Source organism: Homo sapiens, chromosome 3, assembly GCF_000001405.40.
Source record: "Homo sapiens chromosome 3, GRCh38.p14 Primary Assembly".
Taxonomy (NCBI): Eukaryota; Metazoa; Chordata; class Mammalia; order Primates; family Hominidae; genus Homo; species Homo sapiens.
In genome coordinates, this window is record NC_000003.12 from 5006696 (window position 1) to 5020418 (window position 13723).

The window sequence follows — 13723 nt, forward strand, 5'->3', positions numbered from 1 at the left end:
ACTACTCTGATATTCTCAAAGGGGTTCCTTCTTTTTGGATTTCTCTATCTCTCTTGAGGATCCCATCCCACCCCACCGCCATTCAACCCCGCCTTTCCCAACCACATACCAAGAATAAACCTCACACCCTGTGTGCCTCTAGTGTCATAGTTTCCTGCCTCTATGGTCACGGGCTGCTTGGGCTCGGAGGGATTTTCCAGCTTAGGGCAGTGCTGGTGGGACCCGAGGCAATGTGACATAGGAGGAGCTGTGAAGAAGACCTAGAAAGAGGAAAGCCCCGAGCAGATGCTGACAGAGAACTGGAGTGGGGCCTCACAGAGGTACCTGGAGTGCAGGCTCCCGGGAAGGGGAACCAAGCCTTGCCTCTGATTTCAGCAAGTGCTCACAGAGCAGGCCATCTGGCGGCTCGCTGCCAGCCAAATGCTACTGACCAAGGACTTCCAAACTGACCAGGCCCAGAACAAGAAATTCTGTTTAGCATCTGGAGATCTATGGCCAGGCTGGATCCAAATGGATTCCAGTTTAGAGGGCTGTCCACTCCTTGGCAAAGTCCTGTTTTCTTAACCCTCTCTTCCCTTTTGAACCAGTGATCTAAGGGACTCCTCCTCAAGTCTTCTCTAATCCCTCGTAGCCCCACTAACAGCCATCACAGTCAGACACCCTCCTCAGAGAGCCATTTCTCCTCCTTGGTCTTTCTCTTCTAATTTCCACTCCTGATATCTAGCTAGCTACTTCTTCTAAACATGTCAAGGGACCTAGTTTCCAGTTCTGCTCTGGCTCTTACTCAGTGGCTTCTAGTAATTTCCAGCCCTTCTCTGTGCCTCAGTTGCCCCATTTGTAAAATGGGGCCCCAAAAGGTTCCTTTCGGCTCTGACATTCTAGGATCCAAAGTACAGAGATTAAGCCACAAGAATCCCTACCAGAAGGTAGGGGATCCAGCCTGGACCACAACCCCAGGGCTTGACAGTTTCCTGCCCAGCACTGCCTGCCCGCCTTCCTAGCTGTGTGGCCATAGCCAAGTTTCTGTTGAATGGACAGAGGGTAAGATGTTAGGATTAAAAAGTCAAAGTGGGCCAGACGTGGTAGCTCACGCCTGTAATCCCAGCATTTTGTGAAGCCAAGGTGGGTGGATTGCTTGAGGCCAGGAGTTCAAGACCAGCCTGGGCAACATGGCAAAACACCATCTCTACTAAAAATATAAAAGTTAGCTGGGCTTGGTGGTGTATGCCTGTGGTCCCAGCTACTCAGGAGGCTGAGGCACAAGAATCACTTGAACCTGGGAGGCGGAGGCTGCAGTGAGCAGAGATCGCACCACTGCACTTCAAGCCTGGGTGACAGAGCGAGACCCTGTCTAAAAAAAAAAAAAGGCAAGCTAGCCAACACAGTGCTTTCTAACGCTAGCAGGAGTGCATTAAGAGGAAGCCGTTATGAATTTAGAAGGACAAGAAGACAGAAAGTCTGAAGAAAAAACAAGTAGCCAAAGAACAATCCATTCGACAAATATTAGGAGCATCTCCTATGTGTACTGAGGTTACAAACATGGATATGCAGCTCCAGAACTCAGAACTCAAGGTGCTTAAGATGGAGGAGACAGATTTGTCAACAAATGTCGCTACACCCTTCTGACTGTTCCCTGGCATCTGTGGCCATTGTATACAGTTGTGTAGGTTGTTCACTGCACGAGGGTGCTGGCTCGGGCATAGAGGGGGTGAAATTCAGGTCAGGTCCCTTTCCTAAGCATGGGCCTATGGGGCTGCATCTTCCCAGAGGGGCACCTTTTCCTAATTCTTACAAATGTGCTGTGTGGGCTGGCCTAGCCCCTGCAGCATTCACATTACCTTGTTCTGACCCAGTCAGCTCCCACCAACAAAAGCACTCATTTTAGGTATAAGTTACTCGCCCCTGCACACACACCTATTACCTCGTGAGCACTCCATCATCCTTAACTTGGCCTTCAAGCTCCTTTGCGAACTGCCCCCAGCTCCTTCTCTGCCATCTCTAGCATCTCCTTCCCTCTCATACTCCTCATACCACACAGTACACACGGTATAGCTTCACTTCCTTGAAGGAGCCATGGTCCATCTGATCTTTGCATATGCTGTTTCCTCTCTCTGGAATAACCCCCTTTTCTCCGATTGGCTGGCTAATGCCTCAAATGTTCAGATCTCAATTTAGATATTATTCTCTCCAAGAGGCCTTTGTTGATTTTGTTTTGTTTTGAGACAGAGTGTCACATTGTTGCCCAGGCTAGAGTGCAGTGGCGCGGTCACAGATCACTGCATCCTCAACCTTTGCCCAAGAGATCCTCCTATCTCAGCCTCTCAAGTAGCTAGGACGATAGAAACAGGGCACCATGCCTGGCTTTTTTTTTTTGGTAGAGTTGGGGTCTCACTGTGTTGCCAAGGCTCAAGAAGCCTTCTTTGAAGGCTCTCCACTCCCTTCCTTCTCACCCAATCAGATCACATTCCTGATGCCCCCATAGTGCCTGTACTTCTCTAAAGCATTTGTCAGAATTATAATGAAATGATTAATAGTATTAATTATTGATTATTGCCTTTCTCCTCTAGGAAATTAGAAGCTCCTGGAATATGGGGACTGTGTCTTTTATATGGTGTACATGTTATATAGGCCATCTGTCTGCTATATGCTAGAATCCTAGTGCATATAGTTGGTGCTCAATAAATTATTATTGAATAAATGAATGACTATAGCTCAATATAATACAGGCCATTAGACAGGTTATTCTACTTATTTGAGGACAGGGAAGGCTGTACATATAGCTGGTGCTCAATAAATAATAATTGAATAAATAATTATTGACTCAATGAATGACTATAGTTCAGTCTAATACAGGACAGTGGTCAGGTGATTCCACTCGTCTGAGGACAGGGAAGGCTGTACATGGCAAGGTCTCCTTGTTTCAGAGGGGTCTGGGAAGAGAAGTCAAACTCCCCAGGGACTCTGGGGACAGGCAGGAGCAGCGTGTGCTGGGCCTGAGGGAGGCCAGTGCAGAGGGGCCACTCCCAGGCGCTTGGCTGTCTTGTGGAAGCCAGAGGTCTCATCTTCCCCAGTTTTCTGGGTGTCCCAGGATGTGGGCAGCCACTGTGCCTTTGCTGAGAACATTTATAAGAGATTCCCCAAGTCTCCGGACTGAGTGAACGTGAACCACATATGGTTCCAAACTCTGTCATAAAACCACAACTTGGCTGTGGGATCCCTAACACGCAGTCGCGACTTGGCCAGCAATCTGGGGGAAGATTGTTCTCTTGGACGCAAAGAGAGCCACTGTGGTCCAGGGAGAGCAGAACCAGGAGGCCTTAATGAATACCTTCTCGAAGCCGACCTTAAAATGCTTTCAGCTGTGGGGTGGGGCGAAGGACTGCCACCCTCATGACAGGGCATTCCCAGGCTAGTTCATTTATCTTGAATTTAGACTTATTAAATTTTAAATTTAAATTTTTTTAATATCGTGGAACTTCTCAAACACGTTCACTACAGGAGAATAGGATGATGAACGTCATATCCAATACTCAGCCTCAAGGGTTATGAATTCACGGATAATTTGGCTTTATTTCTGCACCACCCCCCACCCCGTGGAATAGTTTAAATCAGATTCCAGGCAACATATAATGTTATCTGCAAGTGCTGTGATTGGGTTACTCCCTTTTAAAACACAAGCAATCCTATTCATTATAGGGAAACAAATGTTTTTGTTTGTTTTGTTTTTTGGGTTTTTTTGAGACAGAATCTCACTCTGTTGCCCAGGCTGGAGTGCAGTGGTGCGATCTCAGCTCACTGCAACCTCTGCCTCCCAGGTTAAAGTGATTCTCCTGCCTCAGCCTCCCAAGTCGCTGGGATTACAGTTGCCCACCACCATACCCAGGTAATTTTTTGTATTTTCAGTAGAGACGGGGTTTTACTGTATTGGCCAGGCTGGTCTCGGACTCTTGACCTCAAGTGATCCACTTCGCCTCGGCCTCCCAAAGTGCTGGGATTACAGGCATGAGCAACTGTGTCTGGCAAAAAAATGTTTTTAATTTAAAAAAATTACATATAATCCAATCACCCAGCATTGATTTAAATGGTGTGGCTCCATCAAAAGGAATCACTCAGGTTGCATTTGCATCTTCATTTTGTCACCTGTGGTTACATGACCCTGGGCGCGGTGCCTCTCCAAGCCTCAGCTTCCTCAGGTATAAAATGGGTGTGTGCTTGGTACAGGGTTGTTGTGGGGTGAAAGGAGGTGTTACTATTGGCTCGATGCCTGGCCCATACAGCACAGGTGTGAACAATGACTGCTGATGGAACATCCTGCCTGATCCAAGGCCTACATGTTTGGCATTGGAGCTCACCAGAAAGCACAGCTGTTTCTTCCACAAATCAGCCCAGTTGCTCAGGAAGGAGGGCAGCCCTATGTAGGAGGAAGCACTTCTGCTTGCATGCAGGAGGTTGGAATCTCAAATCCTTGGGTCATCTTAAATTGCTTCCAGAGGCTGACCTCAGTGCTGGGTTCTTGACTAATCTACACCATTCAATCAGGGTGACTTTTGCCTTAGAATTCCACACCACTTGCTCTGGAGGGAAGGGAAGAGGAAGGACTAAAAGGAAGATGTGGCCTCAACCCTCCATTTTACAGGTGGAAAAACTGAAGCTCGGCTGGTGAAGGCACTAAGATCCCAGGGCTGCTAATGGCAAAGACAGGACTGGAGGCCAGCGTCCAGCTTCAGTTTTCTTGCCTGCAAATGGGTAGGCGAAAGCAAGGGAAACCCAGCTATCCTTAGAGGCTGGAAGCCCACCAGTCAGAAAGGCTAACCCTGTCGTGCTAACCAAAAAGCCACTGAGGGATTTCTTAAGTTAAGACGAAGGCAGCTTCTAAGAATCAGGGACTTGTGTTTTCTCCCAAGAGACTTTTGAAAGCAAAACTTGCAGGGACCCCCTCCTTAGAGACAGGAGGTCACAGCTGAGGTATCTGGCCAGATGCAAAGAACTTCCCTCTCTGTTCTTGTTAACACTGATAAAAAGGCTTCCTTCCTCATTCTCGGGACCAGCTTTTCACCCCGGGCCGCCGGCCGACTCAACCCCCATACCCCTCTTGTCATACTATCCTCCCACCGCCTCCACCCTCTTGCCACCCCGGACTTGACCTTGTCCTGGACTGTCCCTTTGACAAAATTCAGGGCCACCCGACTCTTCTTACCTTCGCTGGTGCCTCTTCCTCTGTCTTGCACTGGTGGGTTCATGTTTCACTTCTCCACCAGGGCGGTGGGTGGAGGCCACGAGGGCTGTCCCATCACCTCATGTTTGGCAGCTGTGGTGGGCCTGGGTGGGAGAAGGGTGTCTGGTTCTGGTTCTGCTGTCAGGAGAGGGCCTCTCCACCTGGCCAGCCCTGGTTTCCTCTTTTGCACCCTGGGGAGAGTCATCTCCCTCACAGTGTTGGGAGGTGGAAATTGGTGATCATGGCTAAGGTGCATGGAGCATCTATTATGTGCCAGGGATGTGGGATTTATCTCACGTAAGCCTCCTGACAACTCTGTTTTACACATGGGAAAACAAGTTCAGCGAGATGAAGTGGCTTGCCGGTGGCCACCAGGTAGTGATGGGTGGAGGAGGCAGCATTTGAACCCAGGTACTCAGCCCCCAGATCATGGGCTCTTAACCACATCCCCACACCATCTTCCTAAAAAGTAACATCTGTACCACACCCTTGGAACTAGCAGCAACAGAAGCTGCAGACTTTTGGAAAGGGAAAGTAGCTCCTCCATTCCACCCCCACCATATTTTGATGACAACTATGGACTCGATGCTCCTGCTTTCTTATCTCACAAAGGTGGGAAGGCAACAGTCTGTGTTTTCACTGGCACTCTCCCGTGTCCTGATAGAGGAAGTAGTAGCTCAGACAAGTTAAGGAAGTTGACCAGGGTCACACAGCTGGTCTGTGGCAGCAGGGAGAGTTAAATGCATGTTAACTTGTTCAGTTATTGAGCACCTGCTGCATACCAGCCTGCATGTCAATTGCTGGGTATGCTGTGGGATACTGCCCTCTCAGGTCTTACAGCTAAAGGAAGGGTGTTGATGGTGGAAATAGTGTGTTGACAGATTTTTTTTTTTTTTTTTTTGAGATGGAGTCTTGCTCTGTCACCCAGGCTGGAGTGCAGTGGCGTGATCTCGGCTCACTGCAACCTCTACCTCCTGGGTTCATGCAATTCTCCTGCCTCAGCCTCCTGAGTAGCTGGGATTACAGACGTGTGCCACCACGCCAAGCTAATTGTTGTATTTTTAGTAGAGACAGGGTTTCGCCATGTTGGTCAGGCTGGTCTCAAACTCATGGCCTCAAGTGATCCACCTGCCTCGGCCTCCCAAAGTGTTGGGATTACAGGCATGAGCCACTGGGCCAGGCCAAGTGACAGATCTTTATAGCTGGGCTGGTCCTGCTCCACAGAGCTGTCTCCCTTGGGCTGTTGACATTGAAATGACAAACACTGGGCAGCCAACTCACCATTAATTGCCAGGATGAATGGAGCCATCCCAGCTACAGAGCTCTGGCAGCTAGACCCTATGGCCACAGCAGGTCTTTTGGAGTGACTTTGAATGGCTTCCCATGCCCCTACTGTTTCTTGCTTTCTCCTGATAACACCCAGCTGCTGTCAGGCCTATGGGCAAGGAGAGGCCTCCTGGGGCTGGTAGGGTCTGGGTGGGGCCCTGACTCATCGCCACCAGTGAGCCTTTGTCTGAACACTTCCCCTCCAGAGCACAGGGATAGCCATTCGGAAACCAAGGTGAAAAAGAGGGTGGAGCCCAGTCTGGGATTTGAGACTGATTATCTACATCACTGGGACCCTTTTGGTCTCCAGGTTTCCTCCTTCTCCCTGTCTCCCTCCCTCCCTCCATAAGTGGACATTCATTCAGGCAGAGCCAACCAGGTAGTTGCCTAAGCTGGAGCTGCTGAAGTCTCATCTCAAATTTGTTAAGATCAGTCACCTTCTTCCCCCCACTCTCAGCTCCTGCTCCTCCTCTCCTTCTCCTCCTTCTCTGCCTCTGCCTCCTCCTCCTCTTCCTCCACCTCTCCTCCCCCTCCTCCTCCTCTGCCTCATTCCTCGGGTCACTGTGACTTCTGCTTAATTTCCCTTCCCCTCTCTTTCCCTCTCTGCACTCCCCACTTAATTTTTCACTCACTTCACTGATGAGGAGTACCACTTTTTCCTTTTCGATTACTTTTCTCCCTGTTTACATGTTAATAAAAAGTTACTTTTCTTTTTTTCCAAAACAGGGTCTCACTCTGTCACCTGGGCTGGAGTGCAGTGGTACAATCTCAGCTCACTGCAGCCTTGACATCCCGGGTTCCAGCCATCCTCCCACCTCAACCTCCTGAGTAGCTGGGACTGTAGGTGCACGCCACCACGCCTGGCTAATTTTTGTGTTTTCGTAGAGATGGGGGCCTTGCCATGTTGCCCAGACTGGTCTTAAACTCTCGGGCTTAAGAGATCCTCCTGCGTCATCCTCCCAATGTGCTGGGACTACAGGCGTGAACCACTGCGCCCAGCCAGAAAAAGTTACTTTTCTCCTTGGCTTCAAACTGATATTCGAAGGCTATTTTCTCTTTCAAGAGACATTCATTTCATGTGCTTTGAACATACATATTTGTTGCAAAAAATATACTCTGGTTATCCTTCTCTTGCAGAAAAGAAACACATGCCATTAGTTTTATTTACTTGTCAGTGTGTTGTGAAGGAAGGCCAGAGTCCAGATCAGCTTCTCTTCTTTGCAGGTCTGTCTGCTGAAAGTCATCAAGACACTTTCCAACTCATTGTTTCCAACGAGGGGCGCAGGCTGGGAGCGCTGAGGGGCTGGCTTAACCACCAGATTTTGAATCTCACAGCTTGAGGCTTTTGTGCCTCTGTCCACAGAAGTTCTCACCAAAAGTGTAGCGAAGGCACAGAGCCTGGCTTGTGGGATTTCTACAAGCCAAGACCCACAGTGAATTACTGAAAACATATTCTTCTATCGCATAAGTGTTTAGTCATGGTTGGTAAGAATGCATGATGTGCGGAAGAGAGAGACACGAAGAGAGAGACACACAGAGAGAGGCAGAGACAGAGAAGGAGAAAGAGGAGGAGGACAAAGGAGGACAGAAAAAGGAAGAGCAGAGAGATGGCAAGAGAAGAGACAGTGAGAGTCTTTCAAGAAAGGAGTCATGGCCAGGCGCCAGTGGCTCAGGCCTGTAATCCCAGCAATTTGGGAGGCTAAGGCGGAGGATTGCTGGAGCCCAGGAGTTTGAGACCAGCCTGGGCAACATGGCAAAACCCCATCTCTACAAAAAAATACAAAAATTAGCCGAGTGTGGTACACATCTATAGTCCTAGCTACTTGAGAGGCTGAGGTGGGAGAATCACTTGAGCCTGGGAGGTTGAGGCTGCAGTGAGCCAAGATCACACCATTGCACTCCAGCCTCGGTGACATTGTGAAAACCTGTCTTAAAAAAAAAAAAAAAAGATGTTAAGGGAAATACAGAGGGACAGAAATAGAGAGTTCCCAAGAGCAGGAACAACAGTTAGAGACACAGAGAGACAAAGATGGGAGAGACAGAGAGAGCAAGAGTTGGTGGAACAGAAAGAGTGAGCGAGAGGGAGAGACAAAGAGAACAGAGTACAAGAGAGAAAGGAGGAAAGGACAAAAGGAGAGACTTGGGAAAGGAGAAAACACGAGGAAAAACATCAAAAGAACCCGAGGTTTGTAGAGGTGGGAAGGACCCTAAGAGCGAATTATTGATTTTGCCAACACACGACCTCTAGACTCAAGACTCAAACTGTCTTGGTTCCCCATTTCCTAGCTGTGCAGTTGAGACAGGTTACAGTATTAAATATATCTGTGCCTCAGTTTCCTCATCTGCAAGATGCAGACAACAGTCTCTACCTCATAAGGCTCCTGGGAGGGCTGTTGAGTTAATACATTAAGCCAGGAAAGTCCAGTCTTTTGGCTTCCCTGGGCCACATTGGAAGAACTGTCTTGGACCCCACATAAAATACATTAACACTAACGATAGCTGATGAGCTTTAAAAAAATGCAGAAAAACTTTTTTTTTTGAGATGGAGTCTCGCCGTGTCACCAGGCTGGAGTGCAGTGGTGAGATCTCAGCTCACTGCAACCTCCGCCTCCTGGGTTTAAGCGATTCTCCTGCCTCAGCCTCCCGAGTAGCTGGGACTACAGGCACCCGCCACCACGCCCGGCTAATTTTTGTATTTTTAGTAGAGACAGGGTTTCACCATGTTGGCCAGGATGGTCTCGATCTCTTGACCTCGTGATCCGCCTGCCTCCGCCTCCCAAAGTGCTGGGATTACAGGCGTGAGCCACCGCACCCGGCCTCATAATGTTGTAAGGAAGTTTACGAATTTGTGTTGGGCCACCTTCAGAGCTGTCCTAGACCTGTGGGCCATGGATTGGACAAGTTTGTATGAAGCAAATGCTCAAGATGCCCTAGTTGTTGTGATGATCGTTTATTGAGCATATATGTGGCAGGAAGTGTGTCATGTGGGACCCAAAGATGTCAAAGCCCCCGACTCTGTAGTTCAGCGGGAGTCTGTTTTCCAGTTTTCCCTAATCTGTCTGGTTTATTTGTGGTTATTAATAACATATCACTTTCACTCTCAAAGGTGTCCTGATTCAGAGGAGAGGCTTATGTCATCACCTTATTTTTGGGGGCAGAGTGTGAGTAATCGGGCTGGGTGGAACCTGCAATAAGCCAGGAGCACCTGCCCCCCTGAAGCCGATGCTCCCGCAGGTGCAGGCAATGACAGGGGCTTGTATTTGCAGTCTCTAATTTTCCAAGAGAAGTTGGAAACTCAGATTTTTATGTGAAATCATCCCATTTTTAAAATAAACTATTTTTTTCGGTTTTAAAAAATACACCTTATTAAAAGTTTTCCAAACTTCCTGCCCCCAGTCCAGCTAAAGCACATCTGTGGCTTAGGCCAGCATGTGGTCTGTTTCTAATCTCTAGACTTGAGGAAGTGACAATCTATTGAGAGGAGCTAGACAAGTAAACAGGCAGTTACCACACCGGTGATAAGGGTGGTGACAGCAGTGAACCCAGGGTGAGTCAGGAGGCAGAGGAGGGGCAGACACGGGAGCTGGAGAGTGGAAACCTGGGAAGCCTTCCTGAAAGGGGGTAACAACGGAGCTGATTCCTGAGAGTTGATTGTGAACACGTTCCAGAAATAATCATAATGATGGCAGGGAACGTTTCCCCTTGTTGCTTTCTGGGTGTTAGATATTGCTGTAAACAACTCTGCAAGCATCATCTCATTCAACCTGCACAATAACCCCATGAATTAAGGACCAGTGTTATTCTCATTTTTCTGCAAGAGGGGACTGAAGCACAGAGAAGCTAAGTAACTTGCCCAAGGGCACACAGTGAACAGATGTCATGTGATCTACCATACATAGATTTAAGCATTACCCTAGAAAACTCCGTGGAAGAGCAGAATGACAAGTCCAAAGACTAGAAGGTAAAAGAGAGCAAGGCACTTTAACAAAACTGAAGATAGGCCACTGCGGCTGAAGTGGGATGTATTCACCATATGGGGCAAGGAGCTGGACTGCCGACTGGGAGGCAGGAAGGTGGACAGGAGAGAAGTTGGGTCACGCTAAGGGGCTCGGGCTTTATTTTAAAGACTAGAGGCAAGATTGAAATGCTAAAAGATTTAAAGATCAGTATAACTCCTACTCCTCTCTCCCCTACTCCATTTAAAAGAAAGCTCAGAGGCCGGGTGCAGTGGCTTACGCCTGTAATCCCAGCACTTTGGAAGGCTGAGGCAGGTGGATCACGAGGTCAAGAGATCGAGACCATCCTGGCCAAGATGGTGAAATTCCATCTCTACTAAAAATACAAAAATCAGTTGGGCATGGTGGCACGCGCCTGTAGTTCCAGCTCCTCAGGAAGCTGAAGCAGGAGAATTGCTTGAACCCGGGAGATGGAGGTTGCAGTCAGCCGAGTTCGCGCCAGTGCAGTCTAGCTTGGCAGCAGAGCGAGACTCTGTCTCAAAAATAATAATAATAGTAGAAATTTAAAAAGCTCAGAAGGGCTTTCTTCCCTTACCCTAGGTCACACAGCCCAGCTCTGGGGCCAAACCCAGGTCTCTGGACTCCTACCAGGAGAGGGCCGCACCCCAGGGAGAGACAAGAGGGAAAGGGAGAAGGCCTAGAACAGTGGCTTTCAAGACTTTATATTGACGATTAAAGAGTTATCTCAACAAGAGAAATTAATCTGCCCTGATTCCATTCCCTCCCACACCCTGGGTGGACCCAAGTTATTCTTTTGGCCTCACCCTAACCCCACCCACCGGCTTGCGAAAGGAGAGGGCTAGGAGACAACTCTCCCTTAGAAAGCCCAGCTCTAGGCTCCACACAGGGCCCAGCAACTCAGAAAAGGCAGCAGATCAGATGGGCTGGAGCCAGCCCTTTGAAACCACCACTGGGTGGTGAATAAAATCACTGGAAACGAACGAAGCTTGGTCTGTGGCAGCTTGGTAGGTGGCCCCGCCCGGGATGAAAGGCCTGCCAGGGCTGGGCTGGGCCAAGCTGTGCACAGAGGCCTAACAAGCCTTCAGAGGCAATTCCTATCTCTGCTCCCTGGGGTTAATGCCTGCCTGTGGAGAGATTGATTAATGTGCAGTTGTGAGGACAACCTGTCAAGACCTGTGGATTTAGATTTTGTCTTGTCTTAGCTTGATTTCAGAGTGGAGTGGTCTCACTGTGTTCTGAGGCCCTTGGCTGGTGGGCCTGTGCCAGTTTGCATGGGCGAATTCGAACCACTTGGTGGGCTCAAGTGGATAGAGGGACATTTAATGTGTACTACAGAATGCTGCCTTGTGCCACGCACTGTTCTGGCAGCTACAGGCAGGCAAGTCCCTGATTTCATGCAGCTCGTGTTCTAGTAGAGGGGTGAAGGCATTGGACAAATTAAGAAGTCAATAAAATAATCTCAGAGATGGTGGCGATGTTTCTAGATGAGACTTTCTCAACCTTGGCACTACTGACATTTGGGGCTGGATACATTCTTGGTGATAAGGGGGTGTCCTGGACACTATGGAATGTTTAGCACTATCTCTGGCCTCTACCCATTACATGCCAGTAGCAACCCCACTACTTATGGCAACCAAGCCAAAAACATTTCAGACATTGCCAAATATCCCTGGAGTGCCAGCATTACCCCTGCCTGGTTCAGAACCACTGCTCTAAACCAGAGCTGTTCACTAAAAATATAATGTGGCCAGGCCTGGAGGCTCATGCCTGGAGGCTCATGCCTGTAATCCCAGCACGTGGGGAGACTGAGACAGGAGGATCACTTGAGCTCAGGAGTCGGAGACCAGCGTGGGTAACATAGGGAGACCCCATCTCCACAAAATATAAAAAAATTTGCCAAGCATGGTGGTGAGTGCCTGTAGTCCCAGCGACTCAGGAGACTGAGATGGGAGGGAGGATCCTTTGACTCCAGAATATTGAGGCTGCAGAGAGCAATGACCATGCTACTGCACTCTAGCCTGGGTGACAGTGAGACCCTGTCTCAAAAAAAAAAAAAAATACAAGCCACATGCATGATTTTACATTTTCTAGTAGCCACATTAGAAAAGAAAAAAGACACGGTTAAAATAGATTTTTAAAAAATCTATTTGATTTTACCTCAAATATTATTTCAACATGTAATTCATATAAAGAATTATTAATGAGATATGTTATGTTCTTTTGTTCTTACAACATCTTCAAAATCTGGTGTGTATTTCACACTCACAGCACATCTCAATTAGGATAGCGCGACTCTAGACCACCCAGCCCCGCTGCCTGTGTGAGGAGTGGAAGCGCGTGCTGTCGTAAGTTCATCAGAAAGACAGCCTCAACCTGGAGCCTCGCTGGCTGTTCAAAGTGTTGTCTCAGACTAGCAGCCCCGGAGCTTGTCAGATGGCAGGATCTCGGGCCCCGCCCAAGAACTGCTGAATCAGAATTTGCCTTTGAACAAGGGAATTTGTGGGCGCATTGTAGTTTAAGAAGAACCGGGTGAGGAAGTCAGAATGTTCAGGGGCCAGGCATCTTGGGAGGGACTCAAGTCCATAAAATGAAATTGTTCTGTTGGTAGACACCGCATCTTCCTGTTAACTAACTCTAGTCTCAGTTTTCCCATCTCTAGAATGGGGATTATTCATACTCTTTCTCGGGGCTGATGGTATTTAATAAGTGTGAACTCATCACCATGCCCCCTTTCCTCTCTGGCCACAGCTCCCCCTTTATCTCACAAAAGCCTTCCTGGACTCGGACTTTCTGAATGTTGTGCCCTACGTTGAGGATGGGGTGAAGAGGAGGCAGTTTCTGCTACCAGGGATGCTACCCCAAGAGGGAAGACCCTGAGCCCAACTGCAGTGCCCACCTGGGTGGGGGAACCCATGTGGAGCGGCCTGAGGGGCCTGGGCATGGGGTGCGGCTCCCACACCAAACAGGGCATGTGGCCATGTGGAGAATGACCTGCACACGCTCACACATTGTACAAGGTGTGGGTGAAGTGGTGGCTCTGTCACTTAGGAGGACTTCCTGTTCCCAAGGCCAGAACATTCTATAAAAATCATTAAGGAGTTAGAGGTTCTCTGTTTGCTCACCCTCGGCAAGTTCCTCACCCAGCAAGACTATGTTGTGAAGTCCTACCCTTGCGTCTGCCGAGGGGACCCCCACCACCACCAGC

The 13723-nt window shown here is 48.8% G+C and overlaps 6 annotated features.

Moving 5' to 3' along the window:
* Window positions 111-380: an enhancer, noted in NCBI's record as "active region_19371". NCBI's record gives its function as "activates an Ori minimal core promoter by ATAC-STARR-seq in GM12878 lymphoblastoid cells {active_cell/tissue: GM12878}" and the evidence as "EXISTENCE:reporter gene assay evidence [ECO:0000049][PMID:35858748]".
* Window positions 901-1030: an enhancer, noted in NCBI's record as "active region_19372". NCBI's record gives its function as "activates an Ori minimal core promoter by ATAC-STARR-seq in GM12878 lymphoblastoid cells {active_cell/tissue: GM12878}" and the evidence as "EXISTENCE:reporter gene assay evidence [ECO:0000049][PMID:35858748]".
* Window positions 4123-4182: a silencer, noted in NCBI's record as "silent region_14022". NCBI's record gives its function as "represses an Ori minimal core promoter by ATAC-STARR-seq in GM12878 lymphoblastoid cells {active_cell/tissue: GM12878}" and the evidence as "EXISTENCE:reporter gene assay evidence [ECO:0000049][PMID:35858748]".
* Window positions 5763-5832: an enhancer, noted in NCBI's record as "active region_19373". NCBI's record gives its function as "activates an Ori minimal core promoter by ATAC-STARR-seq in GM12878 lymphoblastoid cells {active_cell/tissue: GM12878}" and the evidence as "EXISTENCE:reporter gene assay evidence [ECO:0000049][PMID:35858748]".
* Window positions 5932-6734: an enhancer, noted in NCBI's record as "NANOG-H3K27ac-H3K4me1 hESC enhancer chr3:5054312-5055114 (GRCh37/hg19 assembly coordinates)". NCBI's record gives its function as "activates a minimal SCP1, AML or CMV promoter by ChIP-STARR-seq in primed H9 embryonic stem cells {active_cell/tissue: H9 hESC(primed)}" and the evidence as "EXISTENCE:reporter gene assay evidence [ECO:0000049][PMID:30033119]".
* Window positions 6735-7536: an enhancer, noted in NCBI's record as "NANOG-H3K27ac-H3K4me1 hESC enhancer chr3:5055115-5055916 (GRCh37/hg19 assembly coordinates)". NCBI's record gives its function as "activates a minimal SCP1, AML or CMV promoter by ChIP-STARR-seq in primed H9 embryonic stem cells {active_cell/tissue: H9 hESC(primed)}" and the evidence as "EXISTENCE:reporter gene assay evidence [ECO:0000049][PMID:30033119]".